Source organism: Homo sapiens, chromosome 5 (assembly GCF_000001405.40).
Source record: "Homo sapiens chromosome 5, GRCh38.p14 Primary Assembly".
In the NCBI taxonomy this organism is placed as follows: domain Eukaryota; kingdom Metazoa; phylum Chordata; class Mammalia; order Primates; family Hominidae; genus Homo; species Homo sapiens.
Window position 1 is genome coordinate 20906832 of NC_000005.10, and position 19190 is coordinate 20926021.

Genomic DNA, 19190 nt, shown 5'->3' on the forward strand with positions numbered 1-19190 from the left:
TCTGCCATGATTTTGAGACCACCCCAGCCGTATGGAATGATAGCCCATTAAACCTTTTTTCCTGTATAAATTACCCAGTCTCAGGTATGTCTTTATTAGCAGTGTGAAAACAAACTAATACAGGAAATTGGTACCAGTAGAATGGAGCATTGCTGAAAAGATACCCAAAAATGTGGAAGCAACTTTGGAATTGGATAACAGGCAGAGGTTTGAACAGTTCGGAGGGCTCAGAAGAAGACAGGAAAATGTGGGAAAGTTTGGAACTCCCTAGAGTTCCAATTTTGGAACAATTGAGAAACTGCTGTTGAAGGGTTTTGGCCAAAATGTTGACAATGATATGAACAATGAAATCCAGGCTGAGGTGGTCTCAGATGGAGATAAGGGACTTGTTGGAAACTGGAGCAAAGGTGACTCTTGTTATGTTTTAGCAAAAAGACTGATGGCATTTTGCCCCTGCCCTAGAGATCTGTGGAACTTTGAACTTGAGAGAGATGATGTAGGGTATTTGGTGAAAGGAATTTCTAAGCAGCAAAGCATTCAAACGGTGACTTGGGTGCTGTTAAAGGCATTGAGTTTTATAAGGGAAGCAGAGTGTAAAAGTTTGGAAAATTTGCAGCCTGACAATATGGTAGAAAAAAAAATTCCCATTTTCTGAGGAGAAATTCAAGTCAACTGCAGAAATTTGCATAAGTAAGGAGGAGCTGAATTTTGATTCCCAAGACAATGGGGAAAATATCTCCAGGGAATGTCAGAGGACTTCACAGCAGCCCCTACCCAGAACCATAGGCCCAGGGCCTAGGAGGTAAAAGTGGTTTTGTGGGCAGAATTGAGGTTTGGGAATCTCCACCTAGGCTTCAGAGCATGTATGGAAATGCCTGGATGTCCAGGCAGAAGTTTGCTGCAGGAGTCAGGCACTCATGAGGAACCTCTGCTAGGGCAATGCAGAAGGGAAATGTGAGGTTGGAGCCCCCACACAGAGTCCCCACTGGGGCACTGCCTAGTGGAGCTGTGAGAAGAGGGCCATGGTCCTTCAGACACCAGAATGGTAGATCCACTGACAGCTTGCACCGTGCACCTGGAAAAGCTGCAGATACTCAACCCTAGCTTGTGAAAGCAGCCAGTGTGGGGGAAGGCTGTATTTTGCAAAGCCACAGGGGCAAAGATGCTCAAGACCATGGAACCCACCTCTTGCATCAGTGTAACCTGGATGCCACACATGGAGTCAAAGGAGATCATTTTGGAGCTTTAAGATTTTACTGTACCTCTGGGTATTGGATTTTTATGGAGCCTGTAGCCCCTTTGTTTTGGCCAATTTCTCCCATTTGGAATGGCTGTATTTACCCAATGCTTATGCCTCCATTGTATCTAGGAAGTAACTAACTTGCTTTTGATTTTACAGGCTCACAGGTGTAAGAAACTTGCCTTGTCTCAGATGAGACATTGGATTGCGGACTTTTGAGTTAATGCTGAAATGACTTAAGACTTTGGGGAACTGTTGGGAAGGCACGATTGGTTTTGATGTGTGAAGACCTGAGATTTAGAAGGGGCTAGGGGTGGAATGATGTAGTTTGGCTCTGTTTCTCTCCACAAATCTCATCTTGTAGCTCCCATAATTCCCAAGTGTTGTGGGAAGGATCCAGGGGGAGATAATTGAATCATGGGGGCGGGTCTTTCCTATGCTGTTTTCATGGTAGTGAATAAACCTCATGAGAGCTGATGTTTTTAAAAAGAGGAATTCCCCCTCACAAGCTTTCTCTTTGCCTGACATCCATGTAAGATGTGACTTTCTCCTCCTTGCCTTCTGTCTTGATTGTGAGGCCTCCCCAGCCATGTGGAACCGTAAGTCCATTAAACCTCTTTCTTTGGTAAATTGCCCAGTCTGGGGTTTGTCTTTATCAGCAGTATGAAAACAAACTAGACCCGGTGGTGTGGTGGCTCGCGCCTGTAATCCCAGCACTTTGGGAGGCTGAGGTGAGCGGATCACAAGATCAGGAGATCGAGACCACAGTGAAACCCTGTCTCTACTAAAAATACAAAAAATTAGCCTGGCGTGGTGGCGGGCGCCTGTAGTCCCAGCTGCTTGGGAGGCTGAGGCAGGAGAATGGCGTGAACCTGGGAGGTGGAGCTTGCAGTGAGCCAAGATCACACCACTGCTCTCCAGCCTGGGCGACAAAGCAAGACTCCGTCTCAAAAAAAAAAAAAAAAAAAGAAAACAAACTAATACACACACCCTGTTACCCAAACACCTCCCACCAGACCCCACCTCCAGGACTGGGGATTACAATTCAACATGAGATTTGGTAAGGGACAAATATCCAATCTATATCAATACATATGCCAGATAGATAGATAGATAGATAGATAGATAGAGAGATAGATACACACACATACACACACCCACATATATATAAATGTGATTTTTGTAAAGCTTTATAAATTAATTTTTTACTTAAAACATATATTAAAGAGTGTTTCATACCAGGGTACATTTTTTTTAAACTGGCAGTGGAGAATAGCCTCTTTATTAACTCATGATTAACCTAACCACTCTTCTTTTAATGAAGATTTTGGTTTCCAAGATTTTGCTGTTACCAAGAAAGCAATGAATATCTCTGAAAAACATACTTAATCTATTCCCTTTATTTCAAAGACTTTGTATCCACTTATTTTTGACAGATATTAGCATATTATTTTGTGTTCTTGCTAATAAGTCCATAATTTACAAGGACTGGTGATTACTCATTCTTTCCATGTTTACCCACAAGACATTTCCACAGCGACATGACCATTGGTTTTCTAATGTTTTCCACCAGCCGTCTCTGCTCATTCAGATCACACCCAGAACACATCTGAAGTGGGCTGTTGTTTCATCATGTTTCCAAGCATTAAAAACTTCGAGGTGCCCAAAAGAGCAGATCTCCTTGTAGTCTTTAGTTGCACTGGTGTCATAACATGGTTCAAATAACTGTAGGAATAATTTTCTACTCAGGCTTCTTAACTAGCTTTATGGTTCTTTTCTCAGAAGCACATTTTTGCTTAACTCTACATTCCCTGATTGATCTTATCTCTGACCTCATGCAAAAATATCTTCCAAGGTCTATACACCTTGACATCAACTATGTAAATTTGATACCTAGGGTTCATTGTTTTCAGTGTAGTGTTTTGAAACATTTCTAGATCTTCATTTTCTATTTTAGAAATGCCCCATAAGCTGTGGAGCTTTAAAAGTTATTTTTCTGCTGTATAGAATTGGTTTACAATAGAAAATGTATGGAAATATTGTAAGGAGTGTATTGTATATCAAAGTCAGACATCCACATATAAGCAGTGGGCAAGGCTGTCTGATTTCAAATTCATTTTCATGCATAAATCTGTGATGGGTGATTTTTAACATTCACATCTGGCTTCTAAGACCTGTGTGTGAGTGGGTGAGATCAAACGTAGGTAAGGAGCAGTTTCTATTTTACTTGGAAATGTCTTCTTTATTGACACATGTACTTTGAAGTTTGAGCGGTTACTCCATTTCTTAGGACAAAAGGATGATGAATATCACAAGTGGTTTAAGATAGAAACAGTCCTGTAGTATTTTCATTAACCTAGTTTTCTTTGCTTTTTCCATACCTATGAAAGCTAGTTATTCCAAAGTCAGGAAAAAGAATTTAACTGATATTAAAACTCTTACACTTTAGCTTAAAAGTTTAGAGAATTAAAGGTGATGTAGTTCATCAGTAGGTTTTAAATTATTATAACTATTCTCGTTAAAAGATGTAATATAATCTATAAAATGAAAAAAACAAATAAGGTTTTAAAAATATGTTGGATATGCAAAGCCCTGAATATTTTGAAAGTATTGCATTAAGGCTAGTAATAAACAAATATGTGAGATTTTAAAATGCATATGGGATAATAAAAAATATTGACTATTTTTAAAATCAGAGATATCAAATATAGTTCTATAGATGTAGTTTTTCAAGATAAGATGCGAAATATATACTTATATGAATAGCTAACCAACAAAAATATACATGAAATTAAAATGTGAAATCAGTTCAAGCAGGTGAGATCATAGTTTACCCTGTTACTTATGACTTCAGTTAAATTATATGGGGTTTTACCACTTTGCATAGAGACAGGTGATATAAATGTAAACAGATGTGCAGAAGTGAAGCCATTACATTTTTGACATATTAAGATGCAAGTGTCTAAGAGTCATGAGTGTGGGTATTAATAGTAGTTGGGATCTCAGAAGAAATCAAACCTCCAAATTTTAAATATGGAGAACCAGAAGTGTCTCAGTAGGGAACCTGGGATACGTAATGCTTAGATGTTGGAGGCTGAACCAAAATCCAAATGACAAGAAGTTGGGAATTCAAAAGTGAAAGTGATCATTATTTTCACTTGCATCAGAGAAGTCTAGAAGATCAGTGTATTCATGGAGACATTATGTTTCCATTCAAAAGTGATACATTCTTTTAGAAAGAGCAGTTTCAATGGAACAGAGAGCTCAGAGCTACATGTATTGCAATTGGTTATAAAATAGGAGTTGAGGAAATGACTGCTAGGCATAAAATCTACTCTCAATTTTTCTTCCTTTGATCTCCTATCAGATCAGTTATTTTGTAATAAGTAAATAACTATATAGATAAAGTTGATTGATGAAAATTAAAACTAATAATAATAAATAATTATGCTAACTTTTATAATGAGGACACAATGAGCTCAAAGAGAGACAGTTCTTTACTATAAGTACTTATGGGCATGTAGGAGAAGGCACTGAGTAGTCAATGAATTGTACATGTGTGACAGAATTACATTGTTTGACTCCTTTTTATGGCAGTGTAACAGGGGCTTGCAAATTGACATACCGTGGATTAAATTCTATCTACACAGTCTTGATAGAAACAATAAATTTGAATGTCATTTAAAAAGTATCATTTCTCTGGTTCACCACAGGCCATACAGCTCTCTATTATGTTACAGCTAGTTCATTCATATATTTATTTTTACTGCTTGATCCCTGTAGGTACCAGTAGGTATTTGAGTCTGAGATGGTGGAATAAGGCAGAAACACACATGATACATTCACCTTCATCTAATACCAAATATTGCTATGGCTATCCTGGGATTTTCCCTCTAGAACCCTGCTTTATTATATGTGACTCAACTTTCTCAAGTTCTCTGTAACTGAGATCACTAATCAATCCACCTGAAAACTCATACTCACTGAGCTACCAAATCAATATGAACATTATGTATACTACATCATGAAATAACCAGAGACCTTATTATGATGCCATCACCTTAGACTCAGAAACCAGAGTCTCATCAATGACACATTAAGAGTAATCTGTGCCTAAAAAGAAACCTCCTCCGCTGCTCACATTGAAAGGATCCAAAAGTAGTTCACATTCCTAACTGTGATCAGCCATTATATATTATTTTTCTGTAACTATAAAATTAATATGTTCGTGTTAACTCTTGGAAGTAGTAAAACTAGAAAGATTCCAATTATCACTCATATTATCTCATCATCTAGAGCTGATTCCAATAGGATCTGATAAAATTAAGTTGAAATCTATTATACCAGAATGCTAGGAATATTTCTGAAGTGAATGTGTATACATAAAAGTGTCACCTGTTTAGCAAAATTATAGGAAGAAAGGAGCAGTATGCCTCCATTTCAGGGCAATGAGAACAGCTTACTCGGACTCTTGCATGTGTGGCATGTAAAGCACGTGCAATACCTATTCAACAGAAACAAGGATCCTTCCTAATAGTAATGGCTCATTATAATTTCAAAAGTCACATTAAATTAGGTATGCAGTAGAGAATTGAGATTCACATGTTGTAGCTAGTTATCCAGTCAAGATACAGAACATTTTCAACACCTCCCAAAATTCCTGATGTCCTCTGTAGCGCATCCCTCCCTCTCTCCAATTCTTGACCTAGGAACCACTGATGTCACAATAAATTGGCTTCCACTTATATTACTTTATATTTTTTGAAACAGAAAGTACTTTATTTTTCTGACTATTTCATTAAGTGTAATAATTTTGAGATTCATTCATGTTGCCATATGCATGAGTAGTTCATTCTTTTTTATTGGCAATCTTTCATTAGATGTTTATACCTTATTTTGTTTAATCTTTTGATTCTTGAGCATACTTGCAATAGTTAATTTTATGCATCAATCTGAGTGGGTTAAGGGATGCTCAGATGCCTGGTAAAGCATTATTTTTAGGTGTGTCCATCAGGGTGTTTCCAGAAGAGATTAGCATGTGTATCAATAGAACGAGTAAAGGAGATCTGTTGTCACCAATATGGGTGGTCATCATCTAGACTTTTGGGGCCTCTAATAGAACAAAAAGGTGAAGGAAAGGCAAGTTCTCTCACTCTTCTTGAGCTGGGAAATCCACCTTCTCCTACACAAAGACATAGGAGCTCCTGGGTCTCAGGTGTTTGGACTTTGGGACTTATACCAGTGCCCACTAGTGAATTCAGGGAATAAAAAAGAGCATAACTAGGAAATACTTGTAAAAAACTAGTTATTTGAAAAATCAAACATAGTGACATATACTAGATAATTAATCCAGAACAAAGAACACAAAATTGCACAAAATAGGAATGAATTTTACACACCTCTTTGTAAATACATTTGTAAAGCTCAAGTAAGAGAATTGTATGTTTTAACAAATTTTAAAATTTCAAAACACTAAGCTAACTTTAGAAGAGAAATAACTTAAGCCAACTATACATAATACATTAAATAGAGAACACAATGAAAAATCTCCCACAAATATTACTTTCATCAAGGTTGTCTCACATGGAAATTCTATTAAATCTTTTAAAATATGATAATCCCAGTGCTATTAACTATTTCCAGGCATAGAAAAAGAATGATAACTTATAAAATCATTTTATAAAGGACATGAAATATCGATCCCCAAAAACTGTTTTGTCACAAACAACACAATATTATATAACTTGGACTATTGTTTGTAATATCGTTTAATTGATGTATTAGTCCATTCTCACACTGCTATAAAGATTATAAACAAAGGAGGTTTAATTATCTTATAGTTCCGCATGGCTGAGGAGACCTCAGGAAACTTACAATCATGGCCGAAGGCTAAAGAGGCACATCTTACATGGTGGCAGACGAAAGACAGCAAGCAAGAGCAGGGAAAACTGCCTTAAATAACCATCAAATCTTATAAGAACTCACTATCATAAGAACAACATGGGGGAATCTGCCCCCATGATCCAACCACTTCTCACCTAGTCCCTCCCTTCACATGTGGGGATCATGGGGATTACAATTTGAGATAAGATTTGGGTGGGGACATAGAGCTAAACCATATCAATTGGCTATATAACTTATAAATAAATACACTAAAGTCTCTCTAGAATGTTACATTTGGTTTTCTGATTCCAGAGCTGAAGAAATTCCCAGGCTTCAAGTGGTTTAAACAAATTTGTTTCATATTTTACTAAAAATGTGTGTTCTCAAATGGGGCAATCATAAACAAAAGTCTACACTATAAATAATATCATTTACTTGAATATGCAATACAAAATGCAAACATCTAGGATATACCACTAAGAAAAAATAAGTAAGTGGTTCCTGTTAATGAATGACATGATAGAGAATAATAAGCCAATGCTTGCATACTTTCTATTAAATATTATAAGGTTATTATCTTTGTTGTTACCTATGATCTTAATTACTGAAGATAACTTATGACTCATTATGATTGTCCCCTAACACATTAAATGAGCCTTTCACCAGTCAAGGGAAATTAATGTGCCTTGTTAAATTTTAAATTGATTAGTATCTATTTCTTAAATGTTAGGCATTTAAACATATTAAACATATTAATTTTAATTTAAACATAAAATAATAATCCTAATTTCTTTTCCTGCTAACATTCATTGACACTAATAGTAAACTCTATGATTAACAAAACAAAACAAACAGTACTAAAGAAGCACTGATTATTTTGATCAATTAAAAATACAAGATATACACAAATAACTTTAAAATATATTGAATTACTCTTACTAGAAGCTGCCATCGTAAAATACCACTCACTGGATAGCTTAAAAAACAAATTTTTTTTTCACAGTTTTCATTATCAGACAATTTCATGAAAACAAAAAATAAACAATAAAATAAAAATTAAAAAAATATGCTTTTTCTAATTAAAACTCTAAAAAATACATAGTTAAGAAAATAAGGCAAACCACAGAATTAGCAAACATGTAGCACCACTTACATCTGAATAAGTTATTGTATTCAGAATACGTTTAAAAATCTTATATATAATACTCTACTACCCCAACAAATTCACAAAATAGTATTTTATAAAATAAGACTAATGGATAACTAAGCCTATGTGAAAACATCATTAATTATTAAAATTTAAGAGAAAACAATAGGATGCCATTTTTATGCCCTTCAAAAGTGCCAGAAAGAACAACAAAAACATGACAATATCAAATGTTAACAACAATGAAGAACAATAGTAATTCCTACACAGCTGAGGAGAGATTGTAAAATGGAACTACACCACTCTGGAAAAGTATGCAGCAGTTCATTAAAGATTCAAATATAAATATACACTCTAACTTTGACATTCCATGCCTAAGTATTCCACCAAGACAGAGGAAATCATATATTCCCACATAGATTTGGAGCCAGTTATTCATCAGAACTTGATTTACAGTAGACGGGAATTTGAATTAAATCCAACCAACGGGTGAATAGAAGTGTACTCAGTAATACAAGTAATACACCAATGACACATAAAAAAGCATGAAAGATTTTAAAAATTATTATGCTAAGTTAGAAAAATCAGACACAAAGGAATATATACTATAATATTCCATTTTTATAAAATTCTAGAAACTGCAATCTTAGCCTGCTTTGGCTCTGTAACAAAATATCATAAACTAGGTAGATTATAAACAACATAAATTTATTTCTCATAGTTTTGGAGGCTGGGAAGTCCAAAATCAAGGTGCTGACAGACTGTAGGTCTGGTGAAGGCCTGCTTTCTGGTTCCTTAATGGTGCCTTTTCACTGTGTCATTACCTAGAGGAAAGGGCAAGGCAGCTGTATTAGTCATGAGCCTCTAGAAGGACAGAACTAATAGGATAGATGTACATAGAAGGGGAGTTTATTAGGAGAATTGACTCACAAAGTGAGGTCCCACGGTAAGCCATCTTCAAGCCGAGTAGCAAGCAAGCCAGTCTGAGTCCCAAAACCTCAAAGGCAGGGAAGCTCACAGTGCAGCCTTCAGTCTGTGGCCAAAGGCCCAAGAGCCCCTGGCATACCATGGGTGTAACTCCAAGGGTCCAAAAGCTGGAGAACATGGAGTCTGATGTTCAAGGGCAGGAAGTATCCAGCATGGGAGAAAGGGAGAAAAATGAAGGCTGGAATACTCAGCAAGTCAACAGCTCTTTCCACCTTCTTCTGCCTGTTTTTTCTAGCTGTGCTGGTAGCCAATTTTATGATGCCTCACACATTGTGAATAAGTCTTCCTAAAGATTCTTCCTCTCACAGTCCACTGACTCAAAAGTTAATCTCTTCTGGCAACACCCAGAAACACCCAGATATATCCAGAAAGAATATTTTGCACCCTTCAATCCAAGTAAGTTGACACTTAATATTAACTGTCACAGCAGCTCTCTGGGAGCTCTTTTTTAAAGGCCCTAATCTCATTTGTGAGCATTTCACTCCAATGACCTAATTACCTCCCAGAGGCTCTACCTCCAAATAACCTCACAATGGGGAATGGGTTTCAATATATACATTTTAGAAATACATAAACATGCAGACTATAGCAAACACACTTTATAATGAAATAACATTTTGGTGACTCCTTGACCTTGGGGACAGGGGAGAATATAAACTGCATGGGGGACAAAGAGAACTTTGTGGGTGATAGCAAAATTTTGTATCTTTATTGTGGCAATGTGTTCATAGGCATATAAACAGTCAAAACTAACCCATCATTCTTTAAACTGATACAGCTTCTTGCATATAAAATATAAACAAATAAATGTGATTTATATAAAACTTGCTTCATATGTTCCAGACAAAAGGATAGTTTTGGGAAAATGTGGTAAAGTACAATCATTGAAGTAGAATTTTAATTAACATAGTTGCTTAAAACTTTGAACAGAAGTATTTAAGAAAAAAATTAAGACACTTAAAAAGAATGGTTTGCAGTGTAGAATTGAATAATCTCTATTATAATATTAATATTATTTTGCCTATAATTTATTGTAACTTGTCTTTTATACTAAGATTAAACAGCATTATGAGATCTAAACACCATTTGCCCTATGCTGCTTCTAGATTCAAACACAAGATATTTATTTATTTATTTATTTTGAGATGGAGTCTTGCTCTGTTGCCCAGCCTGGAGTGCAGTGGTGTGATCTCGGCTCACTGCAGCCTCTGTCTCCCAGGTTCAAGTGATTCTCCTTCCTCAGCCTCCTGAGTAGCTGGGACTACAGGCGTGTGCTACCACGTTTGGCTTATTTTTGTATTTTCAGTAGAGACAGGTTTCACCATGTTGGCCAGGATGGTCTCAACCTCCTGACCTTGTGATCCATCTGCCTCGACCTCCCAAAGTATTGAGATTACAGGCGTGAGCCACTGTGCCCAGCCACAAACACAAGTTATTTTAATGAGTTGCAGATGTAATATTGCTTCATAAAGTGCCTATGCCAGTCACAGGTTTCTGAGCCCAAAATAAATTCTCAGTTATATGGAGACTGTGTAAAGTTCTTTCTAATTTCCTATTTATCAAAACACTTATCTGTCTTACCTATTCTGACTTTATTTTGGTTGACACCATTTCTATTTTCTAAAGTGTCCAATTTATTGACTATTTTTATTGTTCAGAAGAAAAATATTAAAATGCTAAAGTGAAGGAATAGGATAATCAATGTTATCATTAAATTTGTTGGTTATATATTTGGATAGTATATTGATGACTTTCCATTTTGGGATAGAGGATTAACTCTAACATCATAGGAATTATTTCTAAGTAGACAAAGGCTTAGTAGAGTTAGAAAGGAAAGTGTCTTTAGTGTTCATGAAACCCAAACCCTGTATTTCAAAGTTAACAAATATTAAATGAAGCAACCCGACAATCAAATTTCATGTTTATATATATTAACAACTAAACTATCAAAATATTATGTTTGCAATAACAAAATGAAATAATGTAGATATATACAATTCTTTAGGGATATACAATTCTCCATCTTTTGCTACAACTTTCATTACTTTTTCTTTTGTTTAGAAAAAGAGCATGAGAACAAGTAGATATTTTTAAAAGTAAAAACAAAACAAAAAACTAAGGGAAAAGTCTCTATCTGTCAAATTTGCTTTACTCACATAACATAAATGGGAGAATAAAAGAGGAGTTCACAGGTAACCCATAGTCAGCATAAGAACAAGATAATGCACATTTTACCTGAAGAAGATTCTTAATCTTAATGTGACAGATTTTCATAATGTTTCTTATTTTTTTCAATCTTTTTACTCTCAATGACTATAAGCCAGTTTTAAGACGGGGGAGAAATTGCTGACCAGTACTTCTCAAGTGTCATCATGAAAGATAAAGAGAAACTGAACATTTTTTCACATGACAAAAAATTGTTCCCCATGGGAGCAGATTAAGAACACATAACGATTGAATGCAATGTGAAATCTTGCATGTAAATGTTAGTAAAAGTAAGAAAAGTAGACTAGCAAACAACTAGTACAGTATGGCTGAAATGTGTTGATTAGTTAATAGTTAATAATATCTGTTACTAATCAATTACTTTAACTTGATACAATATTATTTTTTTTATTGGCTAATAATTCTATGCTTATGCAGGATGTTAAAACAATTGGGGAAGGTGAATGAAGGTATATAAAAACGTGTTCTGTTATTTCTGAAAATGTTTGATAGTCTCTATTTCAAAATGAAAAGTTATAAAATAAAATAAAAACAAGCTGCAGATCATTTTTTACATGTGTTCTTTTTAAAGAAATTACAAATAGTGGAAAACTTTTCCAACAACCGTATTTACAAAATCTTTTAAAATACATTTTACCTTTGAACAGTGTAGGGGTTGGGAACACTGACCCCAGCACAGTCAAAAATCCATGTATAACATTTGACTCCCCAAAGATTAAATTACTAATAGCTTACAGTTAATCATAAGCCTTATCAATGACATACATAGTTAATTAGCATATATTTTGTATGATATATAAAAATTCTACTGTATTCTCACAATAAAGTAGGCCAGAGAAAAGAAAATGTTATGAAAAAATAATAAGGAAGAGAAAATACATGTAGTATTCATTAAATAGAAGTGGATCATCATAAAGGTCTTTATCCTTCAGCTTTCATAATGAGTAGGCTGAGGAGGAAGAAGAGGAAGGATTGGTTTTGCTGACTCAGGGATGGCAGAGGCAGAAGAAAATTTGCATTTAAGTGGACACTTGCAGTTCAAACTCATGTTGTACAGAGTTTAAATGTACTGTTTTACTGATGATAATTTTTAAAAAGACATAGATTGGCCGGGTGGTGGCTCACACCTGTAATCCCAGCACTTTGGGAGGCGGAGGTGGGCGGCTCATGAGGTCAGGAGATCGAGACCATCCTGGGTAACACGGTGAAACCCCGTCTCTACTAAAAATACAAAAACAAAATTAGCCGGGTGTGGTGGTGGGCACCTGTAGTCCCAGCTACTTGGGAGGCTGAGGCGGGAGAATGGCGTGAACCCAGGAGGCAGAGGTTGCAGTGAGCCGAGGTCACGCCACTGTACTCCAGCCTGGGCGACAGAGTGAGACTCCATCTCAAACAAACAAACAAACCACGTAGATCATCAGGTAAGTCAAACTTTTGTAAAGCAAAATCTGAGAAAGTAAAAGATGATTCAGTCAATTTTACAGAGACAGAAATTCACAAATTTTGGAGAAGCTTTTTGGTCTAGTTATTAATCAGGTTTTTGCAACAATGGTATTTGAAGGTTTTGTGGTACACAGGACCCCTTACTTCACAGATGCATACAATGAAACCTAGAGGACATCATGAAGGCAGGTCCATAAATACAACACCTTTCCAAATACTTGATCTCTTGTCTCATATTCTCACTTTTAAATTTCAGTAATTAATTAGAACATAACTTTAACATAGGTGCACCAACTGAAGGCTGAAAGCACAAAGAGCTATTTTCAGGAAAGACTCAGAATATTTATTGCCTTCTGCACTGTTCCGCTTTCTCTTGCTGTTGCTTTGTGAATAGAAAAAAATTTGTTTTAATGTTGCAAACATTTTAATAATATTTTCTTTAGAGGAGGAATTCCGGGACATAGAATAGATGGAATTCATAGTCATAGGAAAAATTGGCAAGAAAAGATTCTTTATAGCTTTTGACAGCATGGGAATGAGAAATTAGAAGGAAAACAATGATGACCAAAAAAATGCTGCTTATTATTTAGTAAACCTGGGCAGAGTGCTGCATAATTGATGCCTATGATTTAAATGTGGAAGAGGAAAATAATTCTGCCAATCCAATCTTCGCTAATTTCATCTTTTTGCTTGGCTATACTTTTAATGAATAGTTAACCTAAATTATAATCTTAGAAAAGCAGATAAATGCAAAGACCAAATGCTCTTTTTTGTGCTAAATCCATGAACCTTAGCTAAAATCCCATATCATGTAGAAAAGTGTCTATGGTAAAAAAAATGTCCCTCTGCCACTTATTTGTCCAGATAACCTGTTTACATATTTTTGGGTGGTATTTAGACAATTTTACAGGTTTTAACTTTATCTTCCCATTTTTATAATTGAAATAATTTTAATAAGAATATATATAAAGCAGATAAGATAATCATTTTTTCTCAGTGTCCATTGATTCAGTTATGTATTTTACTATTTGTATTTATTCACTTTTTACTGCTTATTTTATTTTTTCAGTTTAGAAACAGGAAAACAACACTCTTTGGATGATGTATTCAGATAATGTAACATCAGAAGCCATGATGATCTGCATAAACTTCATTATTTTATATAAATCATTTTATAATCTACAAGAAAACTTTCATTTTCAGATTATTACATAAAATTATTACACTTGCTAAATCAAGGAAACTTCTAGGTGATTTATTCTTAAAGTTACCAATAAATTCAGTCATCAAATTAGTTCAAGATAACTTCCTAAAACTTTTCTGTGATTATTATGTCCTTATATAAGAATACCCTTGAAGTTAAATTAATAATCTCAAACATTCATAAACATTTGACAAAGATATAGCTTTTTAATTTTTTGGATAATGTGGATTGAGATGTAGTTTGTCCAGGTTTTATATCCCAGAACAATCCATATTTAAGTCAAGCTTTAGAAGAAAATTAGGGAAAACTTCTTCAAGATAACATTTTGTGCCTATGGAGTCCTATGAGAATTTAGGGAAGAGATGCCTGTTTAATTTTCTTGATCAGGTTGGAATCAGGAGCACTTATTGAGGGTGAAGTTGTAGAGATATAGAGGAATCTTGAAGTCAGGGGTGACATTTTGCATTTGTTTTTCTTCAGACATTTGAACAAAATGGTAAGCAAAGTCTAAAAGGGGAATGTCAATGGTTCAAGTTATTTTGGAGATCATGACTTTGTAGTTTCCCATGTTATAGACCTGGAGTGGCCTTTTCTATCCAATTCTTCCAGTTTCTAGGTATATAAACAGGGATTCTGAATTTAAATATCAATCTGAAGAGGCTTTCTGTGAGGGTAGATTAGAGTATAAGAGATTAGACAAAAACTGGTGACAGAGAAGTTCAAATTAGAACCTGTGGTTCTGAACCTAAAGGGGCAGGAAATGTTGTTATAGAAAATGTGAGACACTTTGAAAGATAATAGCTGAGATGACAGAGAGAGAGGGTTTTAAATTTAACATACTGAAGTAGAAAACCCTTGGGTGGTTATAAGATTTATAGTGAGAAACATTGTAAAAATAACTAAAAGGGAATGGAGGTGAAAATCACTTGGGTGAAAAATAATTAAGATTAGTCACCTAATTGTAGGGTTATCTCATTTTTTTTTTTGACATTGAAAATTTATGGTACTGTTGAAGTATTTATAGTGAAAAAGAAGGAAGAGAGTTGGGGATGAAATAACAAGGAGATTGTATTAGTTGTTTTCACACTGCTATAAAGAACTTCGTTGAGACTGGGTAATTTATAAAGGAAACAAGTTTAATTGACTCACAGTTCTGCATGGCTGGGGAGGCCTCAGGAAACTTACAATCATGGTGGAAGGGGAAGCAGGCACCTTCTTCACAAGGTAGCAGGAGAGAGAGAAGGACAAAAGAGGAATTTCCACAGGGTTATAAAAGCACCGGATCTAGTGATAACTCATTCACTATCACAAGAACAGCTCGGGGATAAGCAGCCCCATGATCTAATCACCTCTCTCCCTTGACACGTGAAGATTACAAGTCCCTCCCACAATAGGAACACGTTGGAATTACAATTCGAGATGAGATTTGCAGAGCCAAAATTTATCAGAAATCAAAAGCGTTTTAACCTGGGAAAAAAATATGTTATTTTATCCTTAAAAGGACATAAGACATTTCTAGAGAAGGCTGAAATAGTATCATTTTGAAAACGCAAGTGATAAACCGTGGGAAGTTATAGGCCTTCTTCGGTGAAATCAAGACGACACAGGGTAGAATGTGTAGTTTAAAATTAGGTAAACTACATGAAAATAAGATGAACCTTCAGAAAATTCTAGGATTCAGCTAAGTAGCTGGCACTTACGATACTCTAGGTAAAAATAATACTTTGGTTGTATTTACAATTGAATAAAGTTAACAGTGGGGATAGCATGGTAAGTTATAGGTGGAACCTATTTATATTATAAACCAATTACACTTAATCTTCCAAAGGAATAATATATTTCTTATACAACTAAATGATTTTGTACATCCAAATAAAAAAATTATGCTAGAAAGGTAGAAAGAGAATATTGGGAGCCTTCATTTGATAGAAAAGTAATGTTTCCAATCAAGTTGTAGAGTGGACACAGATTATTACAGGTAGTTAGATGGCATGAGCATGGCAGGAAAGGGCTCTGACCCCACCCACTAGGTACACTACTTTTTCAAAGCCAGGGAGAGACAATCTCCTGATGCTCCACAGCTGTTAACACTAAATTATTGATTGAATGCAGATTCCAGGGAGAAGAAACTTCCTGGGTATGTGCACTAGGAGAGAAGATGGTGACATATGACCTTCCAGGGACACTCCACTAGAAAAAAAAAATGAAGAAAGCCTCAGATAGGCATGCATACAAATTTCTAAACATACTGTGTGTGTTCAATTCCCAAAGGTAGGAAGGACACTGCGCATGAGGGAAGCCCACCTTAAGGGAAGAATCATGGTAAAGAGGCAAGCCTATAAAAGCCCTAGGATCAAGGTTAAATGCCCCTTTTCTTTCTTTGACCTTCAGGTGCCCTCTTGGATCTCTTCCAAGTAAATCTTCCTTTCTTTCCTATTCTAAAGCTTTTTACATAACCTTCCACTTCTGCTCTGAAACTTGCTTTGGTCTCTCTGCTTTATGCCCCTCAGTCGAATTCTTTCTTCTGAGGAGACGAGAACTGAAATTGCTGCAGACCCATAGGAATTTGGAGTCAGTAACTCAGGGTAACTCAGATCTCCTACACCGGTAACAAGATGACATTAATTCCTTCAAATATGCTTTGCTTAACTCTTCCACACAATTTTTTTCCCAAGTAAATTTATGTTATAACAGCTTCAAATACTTCTCTGGAATAACTTTCCACATTTGCCCATAGCTCTCTTTAGTATTTTGCTTACATGAGGCAGCACAAAAGTAACCACAAGGCAATCCAGTAATCTCACCTTAAATGATCTCTCACCTTTGAGGTGGTTTAAAACCACGTAGATTTATGGACTCCATCCCCATTTCCCAGTTCATTGGGACAGAGAATAAATATCATAGTGAGCATTCCACATTGCACATCAAAGCTTAAGCCCACTGTGTCAGTGGCTTATTCCTTTTTTCTTTCATGTTTTTCCTATTCCTCTTGAGATTACTGTGATGAAACAACTAATAAATAAACCCTAACATTTTTACGGGCTCAATATCAAGTCTTCCTGAGTAGTTCTGTGGTATGAGGTTCATTGTTCTATGAAGTTCATTCAGTAAGAAACAGGGAGTTTCCACAGTTGTGTGAGAAATCTTGAGAAATAAGCAGGTCAAAGAAGATAGCTCAGTGGTTACATCAATAGAAACAGATTGAAGAGAGAAAAGAACAGCAAAGACAGCAGTTAAATTTGACGTCTGTAGCTCAATAACATGAAGAGAAGAAACCACTCTAAGAACTTTTTGTGAATTAAAGAATAAATTGATTCTAATTTAGCCCAACATGTTTAAAGAAGTAAATGGGAGAAAATATAGAATGACGACCTGGAAACAGTTAAAATAACTACAATGGTTTGTTGCTGAGATGGATGATATCCCTTAATTCCTTTCACAGTTTAAATCTGAGTCTCTGATGGAGGGTCTTACTTTATCTAATGCACAGTGGTAGCCAGAGAAGCTACTAGGGAGAGTAAAAGAAACAGAAAGACATGGGAGCATGAGCACAAAATATGTGTGTATTAATGCAAAAGTTATTATAGGTCACTTTTTTTTTTTTTTTTTGAGACAGAGTCTCACGCTGTCACCCAGGCTGGAGTGCAGTGGCGCAATCTCTGCTGACTGCAAGCTCTGCCTCCTAGGTTCAACATTTCGCCTGCCTCAGCCTCCCAAGTAGCTGGGACTACAGGCACATGCCACCACGTCCGGCTAATTTTTTGTATTTTAGTAGAGATGGGGTTTCACCATGTTGCCCAGGCTGGTCTCGAACTCCTGTGCTCGTGATCTGCCTCGGCCTCCCAAAGTGCCAGGATTACAGGCATGAGCCACCTCGCCCGGCCTTAAAGGTAACTTTTTATTGGAAAGTTTGCATTACGTTGACTACTTCTAATGAATAAATGAATTTTAAAAATACAACTCTAGTTAGGTGAGTGTTAGGGTATTGATATTATAAATATGATAAGCAATATAGAATGTTAGTGCAATTTTGGAAGTGGGTTCTATGACAATTAGTTCACATATATTAAAATTTTATTTGAAGTATTAAGAGAATCACAAAGGTCTGCAGATAATGGAATAAAGAACTGGAGTTTGGGGGTGGTCAGGAATATTTAGGATTGGGGAAAAAGGAAGAATTTATTGGGAGTGGCATCTGAACTGTGTTTTGACTTTAGATATGTGTAATGGAAAATCGAAACCAACCATGGGGCATAAGGAGGAACATTACATAGGTCAGATTTAAAGAATGTCTCTGAGGGAAAATAGTGGAAAGCTCTAAAGGAAGGTAGGTTAGATTCAGAATTGTTTACTTATATGACACAGTAATGAATTTTAACTTCATTCCCTACACTATGATATAAAACTACAAATAGATTAGCCTGCACACCACCTACCCTCCCATTTATGAATGGTTATACTTTAATATAAAGTCTTTATTTCTAGCAGAGATATAATGAAAGACATTCAAACTTGAAATCTGTGTATTAGAAAATGTGTCTGTTATGTTCTTCAATATTTGTATCAGATAACGAACTACATTACATTTTTTTTGAATTTAGTGAAATGAAAAATGTCTCTGGAAGATCATTTATAAATTATTTTTCTTAAAATAAAGACAAGCATTTGGCTTTTCAGCCATGGCTGAATTCCTCTTCCATCTGATTCTTTAAAAAAAAGGTTTTTAATAAAAAAGGATTTTTTTCCATTTTATTGATTTCAGAGAGTTGTTCCCCAAAGCAATTATTGTGTATGTAAATTTTTTCAGATAGTTGTTTTCTCTCACCCTATACACTGTGCTTTTAATTTTTGCATTTTTCCTCCTAATGCATGTATATAATATATACCAAATTCATAGACTTAGGAATGAAGAAGTATGATATAACACATAAAATTCCACAGAAATAATTCTGGCTTTGTGGTTTTTATAATTCTAAATTTTGTCTTGAGGTAAAAGATGTAGAAGAATCATGGTTATTTTAGTTGATTTCTGCTCATGTCTGGATACAAATAGAAAAAAA

General features: G+C 35.5%; 1 long non-coding RNA gene across 1 annotated transcript in view; it reads left to right on the plus strand.

Moving 5' to 3' along the window:
- Positions 1 to 19190, plus strand: part of LINC02241 (long intergenic non-protein coding RNA 2241) — a 325854-nt gene that overhangs the window by 294992 nt on the left and 11672 nt on the right. The window lies entirely within an intron of this gene.